At 45.0% G+C, this 20,413-nt stretch overlaps 2 protein-coding genes across 22 annotated transcripts in view; one reads left to right on the top strand and one right to left on the bottom strand.

The window, feature by feature from the left end:
- On the top strand, positions 3,834-9,117 carry ALKBH2 (alkB homolog 2, alpha-ketoglutarate dependent dioxygenase). Of its 8 annotated transcripts, none has more exons than NM_001145375.2 (4): positions 3,834-3,956; positions 4,519-4,799; positions 7,099-7,297; positions 8,794-9,117. In NM_001145375.2, exons 2-4 carry the CDS (start codon positions 4,520-4,522, stop codon positions 9,098-9,100), a joined length of 786 nt encoding a protein of 261 aa, NP_001138847.1. In that variant the 5' UTR covers positions 3,834-3,956; position 4,519; the 3' UTR covers positions 9,101-9,117. The 8 variants fall into 8 exon arrangements, with proteins under 8 accessions (NP_001138847.1, XP_005253892.1, NP_001001655.1 ...); XM_005253835.6 differs by having other exon boundaries at positions 4,369-4,799; NM_001001655.3 differs by having other exon boundaries at positions 3,834-4,059.
- A 165-nt stretch (positions 9,118-9,282) lies between these two features.
- USP30 (ubiquitin specific peptidase 30) overlaps positions 9,283-20,413 on the bottom strand; it is a 64,935-nt gene continuing 53,804 nt past the window's right edge. For 8 of the 14 annotated variants that reach the window (XM_047429732.1, XM_017020052.3, XM_017020051.3 and 5 more), the window contains 6 exons: positions 15,913-15,972; positions 15,287-15,373; positions 14,563-14,643; positions 14,133-14,463; positions 12,233-12,353; positions 9,283-11,639 (listed from right to left, as the gene is read on the bottom strand). In XM_047429732.1, the coding sequence (XP_047285688.1) occupies positions 11,375-11,639; positions 12,233-12,353; positions 14,133-14,463; positions 14,563-14,643; positions 15,287-15,373; positions 15,913-15,972 (945 nt within the window). In that variant the 3' untranslated portion in view covers positions 9,283-11,374. The remainder of the gene's footprint in view (positions 11,640-12,232; positions 12,354-14,132; positions 14,464-14,562; positions 14,644-15,286; positions 15,374-15,912; positions 15,973-20,413) is intronic. The other 6 variants (NM_001301175.2, NM_032663.5, XM_005253962.4 and 3 more) reach the window with 1 other exon arrangement.

The raw sequence follows: 20,413 nt of genomic DNA, 5'->3' as shown, positions 1-20,413 counted from the left end.
TGAGGCCAGAGGGTCTGAGCTGTAGTGAGCTTTGATCGCGCCAATGCACTCCAGGCCTGGGCGACAGAGCGAGACCCTGTCTCTCGGTGGGGTCGGGGGGAGGGGGCTGGGAAGAAAAGTTCCTGCCCCTTAGGGGTGTTGTGGGAGTGCAATGAACAATATAATAATATTGTCCGGGCTTGATGGCTCACGTCTGTAATCCCCGCACTGTAATCCGAGGCATCTCAAAAACAAACAAACAAACAAATACTATTATATTTTGTGTGTGTATTTTGTTTTTGAGACAGAGTCTTGCTCTGTCGCCCAGGCTGGAATGCAGTGGTGTGATCTCAGCCCACTGCAACCTCCGCCTCCCGGATTCAAGCGATTCTCGTGCCTCAGCTAGGATTATAGGCGCGCGCCACCACGCCTGGCTAATTTTTCTATTTTTAGTAGAAATGGGGTTTCACCATGTTTGCCCAAGTGTGTTTTGTATTTTTTTAGTAGAGATGGGGGATCTCACCATGTTGGCCAGTCTGGTCTCGAACTCCTGACCTCAGGCGATCTGCCCACCTTGGCCTCCCAAAGTGCTGGGATTACAGGCATGAGCCACCACACCCAGCCAATATTATTTGTTGAACTGTTATATACATTTTCTCACGCAATTTTCATGGCCTATTTTATGACGATAAACTAAGGCTTAGTGCAGTCAAACATTTTGCCTAATGTATCAGGCTTGTGGGAGACTTTCGGGTCATAGAGGTTAAACACCAACGATTTGTCTTCCAAATGACACCACTGTACCGAACCTCCTCCCACCACTACTAATACACTTAGGATTCTCTTTCCCTCCCTCACATCCAAACCATCCATATCTGCTTTTGGTTCTTTCTCCAAAGCAAACCTCAAATTCAACTGCTGCTCTTGCATCTCCTAGCTACAGAAGACCAGCTGGGAAGCTGGTGTTCTCTTTTCTAGAGAGAGATTTTTACATCATGACAATACCTGGGGCCTGGCCCAGCTCGGTGGCTCACGCCTGTAATCCCAACACTTTGGGAGGCCAAGGAGGGGCGTATCGCTTGAGCACAGGAGTTCGAGACCAGCCTGGCAAACATGGTGAAACCCCGTCTCTACTAAAAATACAAAAATTAGCCAGGCGTGGTGGCATGCATTTGCAATCCCAGCTACTCAGGAGGCTGAGGCAGGAGAATCACTTGAACCCGGGAGGCGGAGGTTGCAGTGAGCTGAGATTGTGCCACTGCACTCCAGCCTGGGTGACAGAGCAAGACCCTGTCTACAAACAAAAAAAAGAAAAAGAAAAAAAAGACAATCCTTAGGTTAAAACCCTTCTTTGGTTTTCAAAAAGGCTTAGAATAAACCCCAGCTTCCTACCCAGGTCTCAGTGCTGCCTCCTCTCTGATGGAAGCCCCCACTACTGAGTCCAGCTCCCAGCACAATTGCTGGACACACCCAGCTTGTCCCCCTGTGGCCTGCACACCCTTGCATTCACCGTCCCCTTGCCTGGAAAGCCTCAGGTCTCAGCTCAGGATCTTTCCCTGAAAAGGACTTCTCCTCCTGCCCCACTTTCTAGCCCATTGCTCTATAACTGCTATACTATACAAAAGCATCTTATTTATTTTTTCTTTTTACACAATTTCTTTAGAGACAGCATATTATTTATTCTTTCCTTGTGTGTTTCTGTCTCCATCCCCGAAATGTAACCTGAGTGAAGAAAGGAACTTGCTGCTTCTTGTTGCTGGTGTGTCCCAGTGCCTAGGACAAGAAGCTGAAGTCTAAGGGAGAGAGGCTCAAAGCTGAAAATCATTTGCCCTTAGAGCCACTATGACCCAGCACTCCCACACCTAGGCATTATTTACCCAAGGGAAATGAAAAACTATATTCACAAAGCTTGTATGTGAATGTTTATAGTGATTTTACTCATAGTAACCTAAAATCAGAGAAACAACCCTATGTGGGGCCTACTCCTGTGGGGCATCCCTTCTATACCAGTAATAAAAAGGAACAAATAAGTAATACAAATGTGCATATACGACTGGGCACAGCGGCTCATGACTGCAATTCCAGCACTTTGGGAGGCCAAGGCAGGCGGATTTCTTCAGCTCACCAGCTGAAGACTATGGAGACCAGCCTGGGCAACATGGCAAAAACCCATCTCTACAAAAAATACAAAAATTAGCCGGGTGTAGTGGTGCATGCCTGTAGTCCCAGCTACTTGGGAGGCTGAGGTGGGAGTGGAGCCTGGGAAGTGGAGGTTGCAGTGAGCCGAGATCATGCAACTGCACTCCAGCTTAGGCAGTAGAGCCAGACCTTGTCTCACAAAAAAAAGCGGGGAGGTGGGGGGGCGCATAAATGAATCTTAAAAGCAATATGCTTAAGTGAAAGAAGTCCCACAAAGGCATTTCTCATAGAGGCTGAGAGGTCCGAGGTTGAGGGGCTGCATCTGGTGAAAACCCTCTTGCTGGTGGGGACTCTGTTGAGTCCTGAAGCCGTGTAGGGCATCACATCGCGAGGGGCCTGAGTGTGCTAGCTCAGGTCTCTCTTCTTCCTTTTATAAAGCCACCAGTCCCACTCCCACGGTAACCCATTAACCCATTAACCCCTGAGCCCATTAATCTATTAATTCATTTATGAGGACATTATGACAGAGCTCTCATGTCCCAATCACCTCTTCAAGGCCCCACCTCTCAATACTGCCACACTGAGGATTAAATTTCAACGCGGATTTTGGAGGAACAGATATTCAAACCACGGCAATTCCCTGTATATGAAATTCTGGAAAAGGCAAAACTATAGGGAGAGAAGACAGATCAGTGGTTGCTGATGCTGGGTGATGGGCGAAGTTGATTAAGAGGCTGGAGCAGTTTTATGGAGGGACGGAACTGTCTTAGATCTTGATTGTGGTGGTGATCATACAATATTGTACATTTGTTGAAATCTGTCAAAACAAAGCCTCTGATCTCATGGAGCTTTCGTTCCATTGAGGGGAGACAGAGTAAATAAAAATTAGGAGCCGGTCGTGGTGGCTCACGCCTGTAATCCCAACAATTTGGGAGGCCCAGGTGGGAGGATCACTTGAGCCCAGGAGCTTGAGACCAGCCTGGGCAACATAGCAAGGCCCTATCTCTACTAAAAATAATAAAAAAATTATTTAGGGTGGGGTGGGATGTGCCTGTAGTCCCAGCTACTCCAGAGGCTGAGACGGGAGGATCGCTCTAACCCAGGAGTTCAAGGCTGCAGTGAGCTATGATCATGCCATTGCATTCCAGCTTGGGCAACAGAGTGAGATCCTGTCTCAAAAAAACAAAACAAACAAGAACAACATCAAAAAACAAGAAAACAAAGAAAAACGAGCAATAATGGAACCAACATTTATTTAGAGGACAGAGCATTTCTCATGCATCCTGTCATCTCCTCAGGCGCTCTCATGACATAGGTGCTGTAGTCCGCACTTCACAGATGAGGCAACTTAACCCCAGAGAGGTTAAGTGACCTGTGGGAGGCCACACAGCCAGGGCGGAGGAGACAGAAACAGAATCCACGATATCCGACTGCAGAACTCCTGCTCCCACTCGTGACAATATACTGGTGGCCCAACGCCCTTTCCGGACACCAAAGTAACCCTCACTGAGAAGTGACGCCAAGCCACAGTTCTCACCCCAGCCGTGATTCTCGACAGTGGCCCAACAGGTGATCAACGGGAAAGCGGCAGTGCTTGCCACACACGGGAGGCCAGCAGGTGGCACCAGGGGGCCGCCCGGCTGCTCTCTTTGCGCCCTAGCCTGCCGTAGTTCCCAGCGTGCTCCGGAAGTGACGCGACCGATTCGCTGGGGCGCGTCTTTCCCACCACGAGGCCACCAGGGTGACTGCGGGATTCCGATCTGCGCCGGAGCTGCGATGCTAGAGCACTCTTGCCACCCCCACCCCACGGACGTGTTGCAGTGATATCAGAATTTTGCGTGCGGTTTACCCGTGTTTAACCTCTTTGCGTCTCGCTTCTGAATCGTATCCACTTGAGCATCACTAGACTGATCTATTTTAACACTGGTGGGGGGCAGCGAGGTCAGTTATGGGTCCTTCCTCCTTAAAGGGGTGGACAGTTGACTTTGGGCAAACCTCTTCGCCTCTGTGGGCAACAGTTTCCCCTTCTGCAAAATGAGGGTTTGGATTGTAGTTTCTAAGTTTAGCTGTGGCGTGCGAATTCCCAGGAGGTAGTTCTTTAAAAATTCAGGTGCTCAGGCGTGGAGTGCAGACCTCTGGGTTTTTGCAAGCTAGCCAGCTGATTCTGATGCACAGGTGGACGTGGGAGACCCTGGATCAGATTGTCCCTAGGGTCCCTTCCGGCTTTAACATCTTCTGTTTCCTTTCTAGGACATGGTTTTAAACTTTAAAATGAAAATGTGAAACTAGGAATGTTGCTGTGAGACCCCTTGGACAAACAGATTTTTGCACTGGGGATAGAACTTGAGCAATTTCTGTCTTGGCCTCGCCACTGACGTCCCTTCTTTCCTGTGGGGACAGGATGGACAGATTCCTGGTGAAAGGGGCTCAAGGGGGCCTTTTGAGGAAGCAGGAGGAGCAAGAGCCAACTGGAGAAGAGCCAGCTGTGTTGGGAGGAGACAAAGAAAGCACAAGGAAGAGGCCCAGGAGAGAGGCCCCAGGGAATGGAGGCCACTCAGCAGGCCCTAGCTGGCGGCACATTCGGGCTGAGGGCCTGGACTGCAGTTACACAGTCCTGTTTGGCAAAGCTGAGGCAGATGAGATTTTCCAAGAGTTGGAGAAAGAAGTAGAATATTTTACAGGTAAGCAGAGGGGTGTGTGTGTGTGTGTGTGTGCATTGAGGGCTTGTTTGGTGCAATTAATGATCGTATGTTTGGAGAAATCTGAACTCAGGATCCATTATTTACTGATGGGTTCACTAATGGATTCATCCAATATTCTCTGAGCACCTCTGGGCTAAGCCCCTTAGGTGCTTGGGACATAAACTTGAAAGAAACTGGATTGCCTGTCTACTAGGAGCTGACAGATGACTCGAGTGAATCTCTCCTTGGCTACTGATGAGTATCTTCTGGGAAAGTTTACAAAACAAAGTAAAAAAACGTGCTGGGTTCTACTGCAGAGCACTTCAATCAGAATCGCTCCGAGTGCAGGCTGACCACTTGTTTGTTTAAAAAGCTTCCAGGTGATTCTCATGGGCAGTCAGGGTTTGAGAATCACTGGTCTCATAGGAGAGATGGCAAATAACCAGGTAATTTCTCCACACCAGTGGTTCTCAGCATCACCTGGTGGACTTGCTGTTGGCAGGACTTGGATTGCTGGACCCTACCCCTGTGGTTTAGTTTAGTTTCTAAGGAGAGTCCAGGTGCTGCTGGTCTGGGGAGCACATGTTGAGAACCACACCTCTATCCTGTAATGAGGACACAAGGATCTGGCAGAGAGGCATAGAAAAGCCCACAGGAAGCTAGGCGTGGTGGCTCGCGCCTGTAATCCCAGCACTTTGGGAGCCCGAGACGGGCGAATCACTTGAGGTCAGGAGTTCGAGACCAGCTTGGCCAATATGGTGAAACCCTATCTCTACTAAAATACAACAACAACAACAAAAAATGAGCTGTGCGTAGTGGTGCATGCCTGTAGTCCCAGCTACTTGAGAGGCTGAGGCAGGACAATCACTTGAAACCGGGAGGCAGAGGTTGCAGTGAGCCGAGATCGCACCACTGCACTCCAGCCTGGGCAACAGAGTGAGACTGTGTCTCAAAACAAAACAAAACAAAAAACGAAAGCCCACAGGCCAGGCACGGTGGTACACACCTGTAATCCCAGCTACTCTGGAGGCTGAGGCAGGAGGATCACTTGAGGCCAGGAGTTCAAGTCCAGCCTGGGCAACATAGTGAGACCCCCTCGTCACTTTATTCTTTTATGCTTTGAGACAGGGTCTCGCTCTGTCACCTAGGCTGGAGGGCAGGGGCACGATCTTGGCTCACTGCAGCCTCGTCCGCCTGGGCTCAAGTGATTCTCCCACCTCAGCATCCTAAGTAACTGGGACCACAGATGTACACCACCAAGCCTGGATAATTTTTAAATTATCTGTAGGTCTCACTGTGTTACCCAGGCTGTTAATTGAACTCCTGGCCTTGAGTGATCCTCGCCTTGGCCTCCCAAAGTGCTGGGATTGCAAGCATGAGCCAGCGCGCCTGGCTCACCATCTCTTTAAAAAAAGAAATGCCCACAAGAGACCCCAGCAGTGTGAGCCCCATCTTTCATGGGGTCACATGCCCTTAGTCCCTACAGTTGACAAGCTATCCTAGCCTGTAAACTAACTTTATCGTGTTCCAATTTCAGCCTCTTTATTCTGCCCTTACTGTAGTTAAGGCAGTTAAGTTACAGTGTTCACTAAAAAAATGGCCCAGGACCATGTTTCTCTCCTTGTAGAACAAGAGTCACTGTTCTTACATGAACATTTGGGGCAGTTGGCTTGGTGCAGTGGTGCACACCTATAATCCCAGACTTTGGGAGACTGAGGTGGGCGGACCACTTGAGCCCAGGAGTTCAAGACCAGTCTAGGCAACATGATAAAACCCTGTGTCTTACAAAAAAATACAAAAAAAGTTAGCCGGGCATGGTGGCATGCCCCTGTGGTCCCAGCTACTCAGGAGGCTGAGGCAGGAGGGCTGCTGGAGCCCTGGAGGTGGAGGTTGCAGTGAGCTTACAAAAAAGTTAGCCAGGCATGGTGGCACGCCCCTGTGGTCCCAGCTATTCAGGAGGCTGATGCGGGAGGATTGCTGGAGCACGGGAGGTGGAGGTTGAAGTGCGCTGAGATTGTGCTACTGTACTCCAGCCTGGGTGACACAGGGAGACCCTGTCTCAAAGAAAACAAAACAAAAAGAAAATTTGGGGCAAGCCAAAATGATGATTGAAGAGGGGTTTAAATTGCATGGAATGACGGGGAAATGTTATTCCTTACTTCCCTTTCAATCTTGAATACCCAGGGAGCATGTATGTGGGGCACTGGATTTCTGGTGATGGCAGTGCGGGTTGGGGGGGGCATCTGGATTTCTAGATGGGGGTCAGGTAGAAAGGAACTGCCATGTTTCCTCTGCACAGGAGCACTGGCCAGAGTCCAGGTATTCGGGAAGTGGCACAGTGTGCCCAGGAAGCAGGCAACGTATGGCGACGCTGGGCTGACCTACACATTTTCAGGCCTCACGCTGTCTCCAAAGCCCTGGATCCCAGTTCTAGAGCGCATCCGGGATCACGTCTCTGGGGTGACTGGACAGACCTTCAACTTTGTGCTCATCAACAGGTGACACCCTGTTTAGTGGACTCAATGTTACAAGTCTTCTGTCTCCTCCAAAAGGAAGTGTTTAGGGTTCCACCCTATTTGGTTCATTGGTACAAATCATTTCTTAGTACACTGGGGCTCTAAGAGTGGAATAGCGCCAGCACTCGGTCTTCCTGGATCCTGGAGCTCATCCCGGAGTAGGAAGTGAGAGGTGATTAACTCCTGAACAAACAGCTGAATGAGATAATTTCTTCTTCTCTTTTTCTTTCTTTTTTTTTTTTGAGACAGGGTTTTTCTATGTTGCCCAGGCTTGGTCTCAAACTGCTAGGCTCAAGCGATCCTCCCACCTCAGCCTCCCAAAGTGCTGGGATTACAGGCGTGAACGACTATGCCTGACCCTAGACGATTTCAGACAGTGATAACCATCTTGCAAAAAATTAAACAGGCCGATTTGACTGAGAATGGCTGAGAGGTTTGCGATTAGGGCAAGGTTTCTCAACGGCAGCACTGCAGACATTTTGGGCCCAGTCATTCGTTGTTGTTGGGGCTGACCTGTGCCTTGCAGGATGTTGAGCAGATCCCTGGCCTCCATCCACTAGATTGCAAGTAGTGTCCCCCACCCCCCAATACCTGTCCCCTGGGGCAGAATCACCCTGGTGGAGAACCCTGGGTGGGTTTAAGGGAAGGTCACTTCAGATGGGGTGGTTAGAGGAGGGCTGAGGCAGTGCGTTTGAGCTGATAACTAAATGGAGAGTGCCAGCCACAGACATCTGGAGGGAGAGCAGAGGGACTCTGGAGTGTCTGTGAAGCAAAAATGCTGCAGGATGGCCGGAAAGCAGTGAATGAGGGAAAGAAGGGGATGGCATGAGCTCAGCAGTGGGCAGGGGCCGGGCTATGCAGAGTATGGCCTTTGAGTGCAGGGCAAAATCATGTGATAAAGGTTTACATAGACTGGCCAGGGGAACTACAGTAAGACGTGATTTTGGCTTTGGGTGTCTTCAGTTTTAAAGCACATGAACTGGCCGGACGTGGTGACTCATGCCTGTAATCCCAACACTTTGGGAGGCCAAGGAGAGTGAATTGCTTGAGCCCGAGTTTGAGACCAGCCTGGGTAACATGGTGAAACTGTTTCTGCAAAAGAAAAGAAATTAGCTAGGTGGGGTGGTGCATACCTATAGTCCCAGCTACTTGGGAGGCTGAAGTGGGAGAATCACTTGAGCCCAGGAGGCCGAGGCTGCAGTGAGCTATGATTGTGCCACTGCACTTCAGCCTGGGTGACAGAGCGAGACCCTCTCAAAAATAATAATAAATAAGTCACATGAACAAATACGTCAACAGACCTCTTCAGCGTTGGCTTATCTTAGAGCCCACTGTGGACCTCAAGCCCTCGCAGAAACAACGGCAGGTACAGCCATGCAGAGTGCTGTTTCACACTGTGAGGAAAACGAGGGCTGGCGGTGCTGGTGAGTTTCAGGAGAGGGTTGTTTTTATGCACTGTGTTTGTTTTCTCATTGCAGGTATAAAGATGGCTGTGACCACATCGGGGAGCACCGAGATGATGAAAGAGAACTGGCCCCTGGGAGCCCCATTGCCTCTGTCTCCTTCGGTGCCTGCAGAGACTTTGTCTTCCGGCATAAGGATTCCCGTGGGAAAAGCCCCTCCAGGAGGGTGGCGGTGGTCAGGCTGCCGCTGGCCCACGGGAGCTTACTAATGATGAACCACCCGACCAACACGCACTGGTACCACAGTCTTCCCGTGAGAAAGAAGGTTCTGGCTCCACGGGTGAATCTGACTTTTCGTAAAATTTTGCTTACTAAAAAATAAAAACATTTTTAACAGTTTTTCTCTTTTCTCTTTCCCTCTCGACTCTAAGAGGGAGCTGGCATTTCCCTTACCAACAGGGAACACAGAAAGGTTTAAAGCGTAGGGCTTGTTATGTAACAATGCAGAATTCAGAAAGATGATGTTTGTAACAGATCAGTGTATTACAAAAGAACACCAGGTGATTTTTTTCTAACAAAATGATTATTTTATTGCTATAATACACAGCAGATACAAAAGTACCTTTAGCAAATACATAAATCAGCAGTTATTATGGCAAAACTACTAGTTTAACTTAGGTTTTTCCCAAAAGAAGCTACTTACTTTGAAAATAAAACTAGAAATCAGATTATTGGGCTGCTACTTAATGCATAATAATTTACAAAATGAAGAAGTCAGGTTAAAAGGCTTTGCACAGCTATTGTTCACATTTACAGCCTTGGCTCAAACCCTGGTCTCTGACCAAAGAAAGATCTGCTTATAACCATATATTCCAAGGCTCAGCCCCTTTTCTCTATCTTTCTTTGATGGTAGATTTCAGAGTAAGCAGTGGCAGAACAGCAATTACTTAAAGCTACAGCTTTGCAGTACACTTTAAGGTCACATGATTGGGCATTTGTTCCACCAGACTTGGGTAAAACAAGTGTGTTCATTTCAACATCAAAGTCAAGGTCTGCATCGGGTGAGTGCAGGACGGACCGTACAGTTCAAGCTGCCCCTTGCACCCTGACGCCCAGAGCCTGGAGAGCCTGCACAGAATATTCTGTTGAGAGTGAGTTACTGAGTCCTCAGGGTGCAGCCTGGGCCCAGCAGAAGAGTGATCACCTGGGCTTCCTGCACTGTGAGCTGCTGCCAAGGCACTGTTTGGTGTGTCTGCCAGCTCACCCCCAGCAGAGGAAGTGCGGTCTTAGCCTTACCTCAGATGACCTTTTGGAAAGGTCTGATTCCAAATCTTACCTCTGATGAGTCGGTTTGAATTTGGTATCCATTTTTCTAAATTAAAAATATAGCTTAAAACATAGGTACTACTGTGTCATCAAAATTCCTTTGGCCCTGGGCTGCATTCAGAGACTTACCTGAAAAGGGAAGAAAGTGCTCAATATATACTTTTTGTATTAGGCTATTGGAAATGAATAAATTCAGAATATGGACCTAGAGCAACATGACAATACTAGATGCCAGCTGTAGTTATATGTTTTTTAAAAAGTCAAAAGCTGCTTTCTCCTTTTCGTGAAAAGGGCTGAACTTTGGTGGTCATCAAATCTAACCCTTCACTTCACAAATGAGGAAACTGAGGTTCAGAGAGACTGCAGCCCCATAGTCAGCCCTTCCTTCCTAAGCCAGGTGTCAACTCAGGGCAGGGATTATTTTTTTATACAGCCCCAAGCTCCCACCTGTAAACCTTAAGAGCTCTGCATGGGCAATAAATAAACAGATGAAAGTAACCGTCCACAGTGGATCCTTGTGTAAGAAAAAGTTTTCCACAGAGCAGAGGAATCAGGTGTTGCAAAGATCCAGCTCAGTTCTGGCTATTCACAGAGTTTTATAATACAGTGTAATTACATCTCAGTCCAATATACAAAAGATAAAAGCAACAAGTAAGCTCTTCACTTATAACTGACAAAGTAGTGAAAGAGTTTCCCCAGGGGGCAGATTTGGCAGATGAGCCTTTACTCCATAGAAAGAATTGAAAGATTAGAAAAGGCATAGAAAAAGGAAGGTGTTCTTTAGGCATCATTTACCTGTTCTCTTGCTATCCTTTGAGTAGCCTGGAAGGAATATTTCACAATGGACGTGCTACAAAAGCAATCGAAAGTGAAAGGCACTTTTTCTTCTAAATTGTTGCCTTTAATAATTTCATTAATTCTTGTCAACAATTTTTATGGGCCTGCTTATTAAAAATAAAAGATCTAAGTGGAAACGTTGATTAGACAAAGGTACCTCCCCTCTGAGAACACCTAACATTACAATATGAAAACGGTGGCTTCAAGAATCTGAGTTCTTTTAATTACCTGTATCAGATGAGTAAAAAGACACTCCGGACATAATGAATGCTTTCTTAACACAACAGAACCACCTACACACATGAACAGGACTGTTCAGGGAGCCTGGTTTGGTGTGAACTGGGGCTGGCTCCCAGGTGGAGCCTGCTCTTAGAACACACCAGAAGGCTGGAAGGCTCTAGTGGGGCCGCTTGCACACGCAACAGTACAGTTTTACTTTTTTCCTGGACAGTGCAGACAGTGCCATCAGCTCTAGCCTTGCAGGAGGGCACAGTCATTCTTCAGACTTGCACTCCTGGCTCTGGTGCTGCATCCTGGAAAGGACGCGCTCGTAGAACAGCAGGTAGGCGCTGGAGGACAGGACCTCCTGCAGGCTGGCCTTGCGGACAGTGTCATCGGAGACCCACAGCCACTGATTGCTAGTTGAGAGAGGGTTCCTGGCAGAAGGTGGGGACCGTCGGTAAGTGACAAAGTGTCCAGAGTGCATGTCTCCATGGTGGACGACAACTGCCATCAGCCGGAAGAGGTATGTGGAGGAGCTGAATGATACGAACACATGTCAGGGGTTTACAATTTTAACAAAAAGACTTTATAGGCAAAAACAAAAGAATGCTAATGTTAAATAGGGGATGAATACAATGGTAAGTCCATACCACCAAATGCTACACAACTATTAAAATACAGATCTGTATTTACTGGCATGGCAAGATGTACATTCTATGAGTATATGTATATTGTGTATATGTGGATGTTTGTATCAATGAGTGTATGTGTTTATGTACACTATATGTATGTGTGATGTACAACTTTATAGAGTGCATGACCCTAAGTGTTTAATTGGCTATCTCTAGATGGTATCCCAAGAAATTTTAAATTTTCTTTATATTTTATACATACACACATATATACACACATACATATGCATATGTAAATTTTATGTACTTTAAAAATTTTTAATTTAAAAGTTATTTCCATTTTGGACAAAAATAAATAGGAATGTGTAATCGTGAAACTTCACCTTAAAATGAAAAATAAACATCTATATTTTCCTTAATTCATTTCTGTGAAAAGCTAATTTTAGAAGCTAAGAGCAGTGGTAGCTCTAAGATGGGGCTTGTAAAGGGTGGCTCACCTGTAGTCGGGAACAACTGGGAGAGGGAAGGGCATCGGCGCTGACAGCGTTGGCAATAAAGATGGGGAGCAGGCGCCATTCATAAAAATCTGTGTTTTGGGGGCCCCTGGCTGATTCAGAACTGCAAGAGAAAAAGGCCCGAGTCAATGAAAATTAGCAGTGGCTCTGTAAACAAAACCTGGTTTTGATTACCTTGAAAGTTAACTCCCCATAATGCTACAAAGAAAAAAATCTATTTCATTTGGTATTATATAGATTCATAAAATAATCTGCCCTTTATCCTTAATCTCAAATAGGGATAATCTGTCTTAATCCCAAATAGGAAAAGTGTATCTAGCTCCAGCTTTACGGCTAGCCTGGGATCTTTGAGCTTCCTAGCCCTGTTTGCTAATGCCATGTATCAAAGTTAATCAGTAGCTAATTTACTGGCTTTTGACCTAAACCAAGGTTTCTCAACAGCAGCACCATGATGGTTTTGGCTGGATCATTCTTTGTTGCGGGGGCTGTCCTGTGCATTAGAGGATGTTGAACAGCATCCCTGGCCTCTACCCACTAGACACCAGTAGCACCCCTCCCCCAGTAGTGATAACCAAAAATGTTACCAGACACTGCCCAATGTCCCTTGGGAGGCAAAACTCCTCCAAGTTGAGAACCACTGATCTAAGCATTCTATTTGCTTTAATTCTGTCAGCTTCTAAGGAATACCAACGTGTAATAGCATTCATACATGTTTATGGGTAGACAACATAATTAAGGCCATATTTACATGTCTTTTCCTTTCAAGTGTCATTTTTGGGGGCTGTTATGTACCAAGTAGTTTCCTGATGACATTTTTTGTGTGTGTTTTAGACAGGATCTTGCTCTGTTGCCCAGGCTGGAGCACAGTGGTGTGATCACAGCTCACTGCAGCCTCAAACATCTGGGTTCAGGCAATCCTCCCACCTCAATCTCCCAAAGTGCTGGGATTGCAGGTGTGAGCCACCACGAGTGGCCCTACTGCTGGCATCTTTAACCACAGCCAGCATGCTCTCAACATTAGTAAACCTGCACCCCAGCCCAGGAGATGGGGAAGCTGGGGTGCAGAGGTCTTTGATTTAAAACCAGGGCCAAGGACTGAACCAGAGTCTGTCCCCTACCTCATCTCTTTTCGATGTTAATCTAGTGACTTGATGAGAAAGAGGAAAACACAATCTCCCTGACATGATGAGGTGTCGGGCCATGCAACTGTGGTCATAAAAAGAACAAAAGGAGTAAGGGACCCTAAATAGGAAAGTATGGGGTGTGAGACAATCCTGACCTAACTGGGGGCAGCAGACAGGTGGTGAGTTCAGGCTGTGAGCCCTTCAAGTGAGTGGGTTTTCCTCATGTCTAACTCTAAAGAACTCAGTGTGTCACATGAGACACCTTTAGAAAATGGCCCAACATGGCATTCTAGGGCCAGTTCTCCTGTGTGGTGTTTGCCCTTGGACCAATCATTCAACCCCGTGGAGCCTCCATGTTCTTATCAGTAAGACCGGCGATAATAGCTACCCGGCTTAAATGAGACCTCAGCTGAGGGCAGTAATGGAATCAGATACATAATTCAGTACAGAAGGCATTTCAACCCCCAGAAGAGGCTCAGTGATCTTTAGCCAGGACATGTCCTCCCTACATTTCCTCTACTGACAGGAAATGACATGACCGAAAAAAGAAATTCACTGGAATGATGTGAGCCAATGATTATATCATTTAGCGGAAAAATTAGAAGGCAAAGCTGCAATTTTAAGCGTTTCTCTCTGTACTTTTTCATCTGTAATATGGTTTCAAAAACGATACATCTCACTGCTACATAATTTTAACCTCTTCTAAGAAATCTTCCCTCTTCCACCCCCAATCCTGCTGTTCTCAAGAGTTTAAGCACCATTGTACAAGCCTTGTGCTCCTGTCATAAGGGACCCAGAAGGTGGTGATGCCAAACTGCTTTTCTCTGTGCTGAAAATTCCTGCTGCATCGGCTCCTCGCGCGCACACACCTGGTGTGGGGGCTCCCGGCCCATCCTGCAGCTCCAGTGTAGGCCCTGGGTTCTTGTTCAGTTTAGGGTTGTGTTGACTAGGTTTATGTCCAAGGAGGTGGTACTTGTAAATGTCCATCATCAGGAACTCATTGAACTGCACGTGCTCATGCCGCTTCAGAGGCGTGCCGTGGCTGGACCAGCTCAGCCGCTGTAGGTGGATGCAGAGACACTGAGGGAGCTGCGGGTGGAAGAGAAATCGGGAGAACCGAGTTGTTTCAGGGGCAGGATACACGGAGTCCTCAAAACAAAGCCAACAGGGTGTGTAGTGTGGGCTCACCTTCCCTAGTTTTAACTGTTTAACAAAAGTGGTCCTCTGGTGTTCCACCTTTTCCCCGTTCAACGTTCCCTTGGCTTCAATCTGAAATAAAAGGAACATTTCTCTGCAGCAATGCCTAAAATAGGACAGCTTTGGAGTGCTGCAGACCACAGTGGTGTTATAGCGGCACACAATTGGCACTTGACTGCTACCTGCTGAAATGAACCCAGCTGCCCAGTTATTTGTGAATTGTTTTCCCTGATCCCTCTTAGTCATTAAATAACAGAAACAGTGGAGGGAAGAGAATGTGAAGAGCGAACACTGATGCTCTGACACTGGCATGTCATCTATTAATTGTTCTCTGTCTTCAAAAATTCTGTTCCATACAGTTCCTCTTGAGTCAGAGGGGAAAACTCAAGTTACTTAGGGGAGTCAGGCAGGTAGCACAGGTTAAAAGGAAGGGTGTAAAACAAATGGGATTGGAGGCAACTGCAGCAAACTGGAGAGGGCATTTCTCATCTCAGCGTGACAGTTTATTCTTTAAACACTGTGCATGAAACAAAACTCATCTGGGAAAGAGATTTGGTCCATGAGCTGCCAATGTCCAAACCAAATTAGGGAGAAGTAGAAGTGGCTGAAAAGACCCACTGGATACAGTCAGAAGAGCTCAGGGTCACTGGTGTGAGAGGCGCTACATCAGCACACACAGGCCAGCTGGCGATGACATTTGGGGTTCAATGCATACCTTTGTACAGTTGTCACACACAACATCCCGCACTGATTCTGATGAGATGAAGTGGTGAAGGCAGTGGTCCAGGGTCAATGGGTGACCCTACAGCATGAGAAGAAGAAAATTACTACAATTCAAAGGACAGCTATACTGAAACTGTTAGCAGATGGCAGTGTGAAGACCAGAGCTTTATTTTGATGTATGCAGGCAATAAAGTTTTATAGTCACAACTGGATGTTTCCTGGACAAACATGGGGCTCAAAGCACCCTAGACTGCTACTACGGACAGATTCTAGAGCATGAGGATGTAACTGCACGAACTTGTGGACTTCCACGCTGTTTTAGGTATCTTTCAATCTGAGGTTAATGTCTGTGTGTGTGTGTGTGTGTGTGTGTGTGTGTGTGTGTGTGCGCGCATGCGTGCGTGTGTATTCAAAAAGCCAAAATTTCTGGAGCAAAAGAAAAACGATTCATTTTCCTCTCTCCCATAATCATGCCACCATATGAAAGTTAAGAGAGGGTTCAACCAACCATGTATCTGAATTACACATAGTGCCTGAGCCACATAAAATGCCTCAAAGCCCTTTCAGATTGAAATGTTTCTGAAACAGACTCCAAATAAACCATAAATCAGTACATACCCATGTGGCGGCTGGAATACTTAGTGAAAGGCTATCAAAGGTATCAAATCGAACAGGACTCTGAAAGAAATATTGCAGAAAATCCAGAAACGATTTAGGCTTAGTTCAAAGTTTTAAAGATGCAAGATATGTGACTATGAAACAGTTTAATATTGAGATGCCCAACATTAACACAGTAAAATATAATGTACTTAGAATAAAATTCTATTAAAACATATTAAAACAACCTTGTACACATAAGAGGTACAATAATACTAAAGAATCGCTTGGAACAACTGAAAGATTAAATATCTGACCCAGCAATAATTTTGGGATTTTTAAGGAAATAACCATGGGCATAACTACAAGAATATTCATCAACATTATTTGTAATAGCAAAAATTTGAATACAGTCAGCATCACTTAACAATGGGGATACAGTCTGAGAAATGCATCCTTAGGTGATGTCATCATTGTGTAAACATCGCAGAGCGCGCTTACAAGAACCTAGATGGTGCAGCCTACTACACACCTAGGCTATACTGTCTAGCTACTACTCCTAGGCTACCAACCTGTATAACATGTTACCGTACTGAATGCTGTAAGCAACTGTAACACAGTGGGCAGTACTTGTGTATCTAAAAACAGAAAAGGTACCGTACCAATAAAGTATTATAATCTTACGGGACCACCATCATATATGTGGTTTGTCATTGACCAAAACATCATTATATAGCACATGACTGTAGTTGGAAGTTCTAGCAAATGGTTTAATAAATTATATGGCATGTCCACAGAATGAAACACTATGTTAAACAAAATGTAGAAGAACATATGATCATGTGGAAAGATGTTCATGTTAGATTATTCATTGCAAAAAAGGAGACGATGAAGTAGGGTGAGAGAGTTCCTGCTTTTGGTGATGGCAGAGGTGCTTGGGTAGATTGGCCCTCCTTGAGATAACAATTGTAAAGTTTGCAACAAAACAAAACCGTTTGAATGAACGGAGAGCTACCAAAAGCAGGCAGAAATGGAAAAGAAGTCAACTGTTGGAAAAACAGAACTCTGTGGGCGAGATTTGTGTGTTTGTGGCTTTTTTTCCTGGTTGATGTGGTGCTGGGTGGCGAAAAGCAGCATCCTACAGGATTGAGTGGTCAGACGACAGAGTTCAAGAATCAGGGCTGGTGGAGAGACCAGGGGAAATGCCAGGAAGAAAGGAGACACAGAGGGGATGAGCCCCAAAGTTTATACCTAAACTCTGTTCAATTCCAGGGCTGATCCCTGAACCACACGTGCACAGGGGGAAACTCCAGGGAGCCTGGCAAAAAGTAGCAGCTGGAAGCTAAAAAAACTGAGCAGAGATTTTGCTGCCCAATGTAGGGGAGACAGAGTTGAGTTTGAGCCCAGCCAGGTTAACTGCAGGCCAGAAGAAAATTAATTTTTCTTCATAGATATGTAACAGAATCCCTACTCTCTATGTCTCTATTATGATGTTAAGCATACAATAAAAAATTACCAAACATAAAATACAAAGAAGTCAGCACACGAGGACCTCACAGATGTATCATAAATATGCTCAAGGATGTAAAGGAAAATATACAGTGACAGTGAATGAACAAATTGAGAATCTCAGAACAATGGAAACTATTAAAAAGAAGGCAATGGAAATTCTATAACTAAAAACAACAGTGATTACGATGAAAAATTTGTTGCATAGGCAAACAGAGATTGGAGATGAAAAAAGAATCAGGCCAGGTATGGTGGCTCACACCTGTAATCCCAACACTTTGGGAGGCTGAAGTGTAAGGATCACTTGAGCCCAGGAGTTCAGGACCAACCTGAGCAACACAGTGAGACCCTGTCTCTACAAAAAATAAAAAAAAATTAGCTGGGTGTGGTGGCACACACCTGTAGTCCCAGCTGCTCAGGGGGCTAAGGTGGGAGGATAACTTGAGCCTGGGAGGTTGAGGCTGCAGTGAGCTATGATCACATTATTGCAATCCAGCCTCGGTGACAGAGCTAAGACCCCTGTCACAAAAAAAAAAAAAAAAAAAAAAAAAAAAGAAAAAAAAAAAGAAAAAGAAAAGAAAAAAAGAGAAAAAAGAATCAGTGAACGTGAAGATAAGTCAATAGAAATGATCTAATTTAAAGAACACACAGAAGAAAGATTGAAGAAAATTGAACAAGACCTCAGTGACCTGTGGGCCAACATTAAGTAAAATAACAAGTGAAAAATGGGCATAAAATCTTTGTTGAAAAAATAACAGCCAAGAATTTTCAAACTTGGTTAAAAAAAGTACAAATTTAAGAAACTCAGCAAACCCCAAACAAGATAAATAAGATAAATACTAAGAAAACCACATCTATGCGCAGCATGAACAAAAATAAAGAGAAAATTTTGTAAGCAGTGTAAGCAGAAGAAAAACAAATGACAATTTACATAGACAAGAATGATATAAATGACACTAACTGAGAAAATGGAGGCCAGAAGACAATAGAACAATGTCCTTAAAGTGATGAATTTAAAATAAACCAAAGCAAAACCACGGCAACACTGTCAACCCAAAGTTCTATATCCAGCAGTAGTATTCTTCAAAAATGAAGGCAAGACAAAAACATTTTCATATACATGAAATCTAAGTGTATCTGTCAGCAGTACACCTATAACAAATGTTAAAAGGAAGTTTTTAGGCCAAAAGGGAAAAAACATCAAATGGATTTTGATCTACAAGAAAGACTGAGAACAAGAAAAATGGTAAACATATTTTTCTATTAATTAATTAGTAGAAGAGAAGGCAACTCTTTTTTTTTTTTTTGAGATGGAGTCTCGCTTTGTCGCCCAGGCTGGCATGCAGTGGTGTGATCTCGGCTCACTGCAACCTCTGCCTCCCAGGTTCAAGCAATTCTCCTGCCTCAGCCTCTTAAGAGAAGGCAACTCTTGCATACTACTGGTGGGAATGTAAACTGGTGCAGCTATTTTTTTTTTTTTTTGAGACTCAGTCTCACTCTGTCGCCCAGACTGAAGTGCAGTGGCGTGATCTCGGCTCACCACAACATCGGCCTCCTGGGTTCAAGCCATTCTCCTGCCTCAGCCTCCCGAGTAGCTGGGATTACAGACGCCCGCCACCAGGCCCAGCTAATTTTTGTAATTTTAGTAGAGACGGGGTTTCACCATGTTGGCCATGCTGGTCTTGAACTCCTGACCTCGTGATCCACTCGTCTCAGCCTTCCAAAGTGCTGGGATTACAGACGTGAGCCACAGCACCTGGCTGGTGCAGCTATTATGGAAAATTGTACGGAGGAGGTTCCTCAAAAAGTTAAGAACAGAACTACTGTATGAACTAGCAATACCACTTCCAGGTATATATCCAAAGGAAATGAAATGAAACACATATAACTCTTTAAAGCAAAAACTATGACACAGTATTGTGAGGTTTATAATGTATGTATAATAGCACAAAGGCTGGGGTAACAGAACTATACTTTTGTAATATTCCAGGATTTTACATGAAGTATAATATTAACTCTAAATAGAATGTGATAAGGTAAAACTGCATAACGTAATCTCTCACACACACCCTCCCCCCCCAACACAAACACACAAGAGTAAAGCTAAAAGGCCAACAAAGGTATTAAAATGGAATACTAAAAAGTATTCCATTAACCTGAAAGAAGCCAGTGAAGGGGGAACAGAGGAACAAGAAAATATGTAAGACAAACAGAAAACAAATGGTAAAATGGCAGACCTAAATCTAATCACATCAATACTTACATTAAATGTAAATGGACTAAGCATTCCAACTAAAAGATTGTCAAGCTAGTTAAAAAAGCAAGACCCATTATATGCTGTCCACAAAGTCACACTTTAAATACAAAGGCCGAAAATGACAGAAAGAAATGACCAAATAAACATTAGCTAGATTAAAAATGAATCATTCAAATAGACTTCAAGTCAAGGAGTCTTAGCAGAGATGAAGAGGGACAATTTATCATGACAAGATGAGTTAACTCATCATAATACATATGCTTGTATCCAATAACAAAGTTTAAAAAAAATTAGCAGAAATAGAGCTAAAGAAAAGACAAATTTTAGCAAACAAGCAAGAAATAATACCAATATTAAACAAAATCTTTCAGTAAACAGAGGAAGGAACATTTTCCAGCCTATTTTATGAGGCTAGTATAATCCTTATAACAAAGCCTGACAAAGACATCACAAGAGAAGAAAAGTGTAAGAACAATATTCCTCATAAACACAGATACTAATATCCTTTAGGAAATATTAGCAAATCAAATTCAATAATATATAAAAACAATAAAGCATCATGATCAAGTGGGGTTTATCCCAGAAAGGTTGGTTTAACATTAGAAAAATCAATCACTGGCTGGGCACAGTGGCTCATGCCTGTAATCCCAGCACTTTGAGAGGCTGAGGCAGGCGGATCACGAGGTCAGGAGATCGAGACCATCCTGGCTAACACGGTGAAACCCTGTCTCTACTAAAAAATACAAAAAATTAGCC

The sequence above is a fragment of the Homo sapiens genome, chromosome 12 (genome assembly GCF_000001405.40).
Source record: "Homo sapiens chromosome 12, GRCh38.p14 Primary Assembly".
NCBI classification, from domain to species: Eukaryota; Metazoa; Chordata; class Mammalia; order Primates; family Hominidae; genus Homo; species Homo sapiens.
Note: the sequence above shows the minus strand (reverse complement) of the source record. Positions and strands in the feature narration are given on the sequence as shown.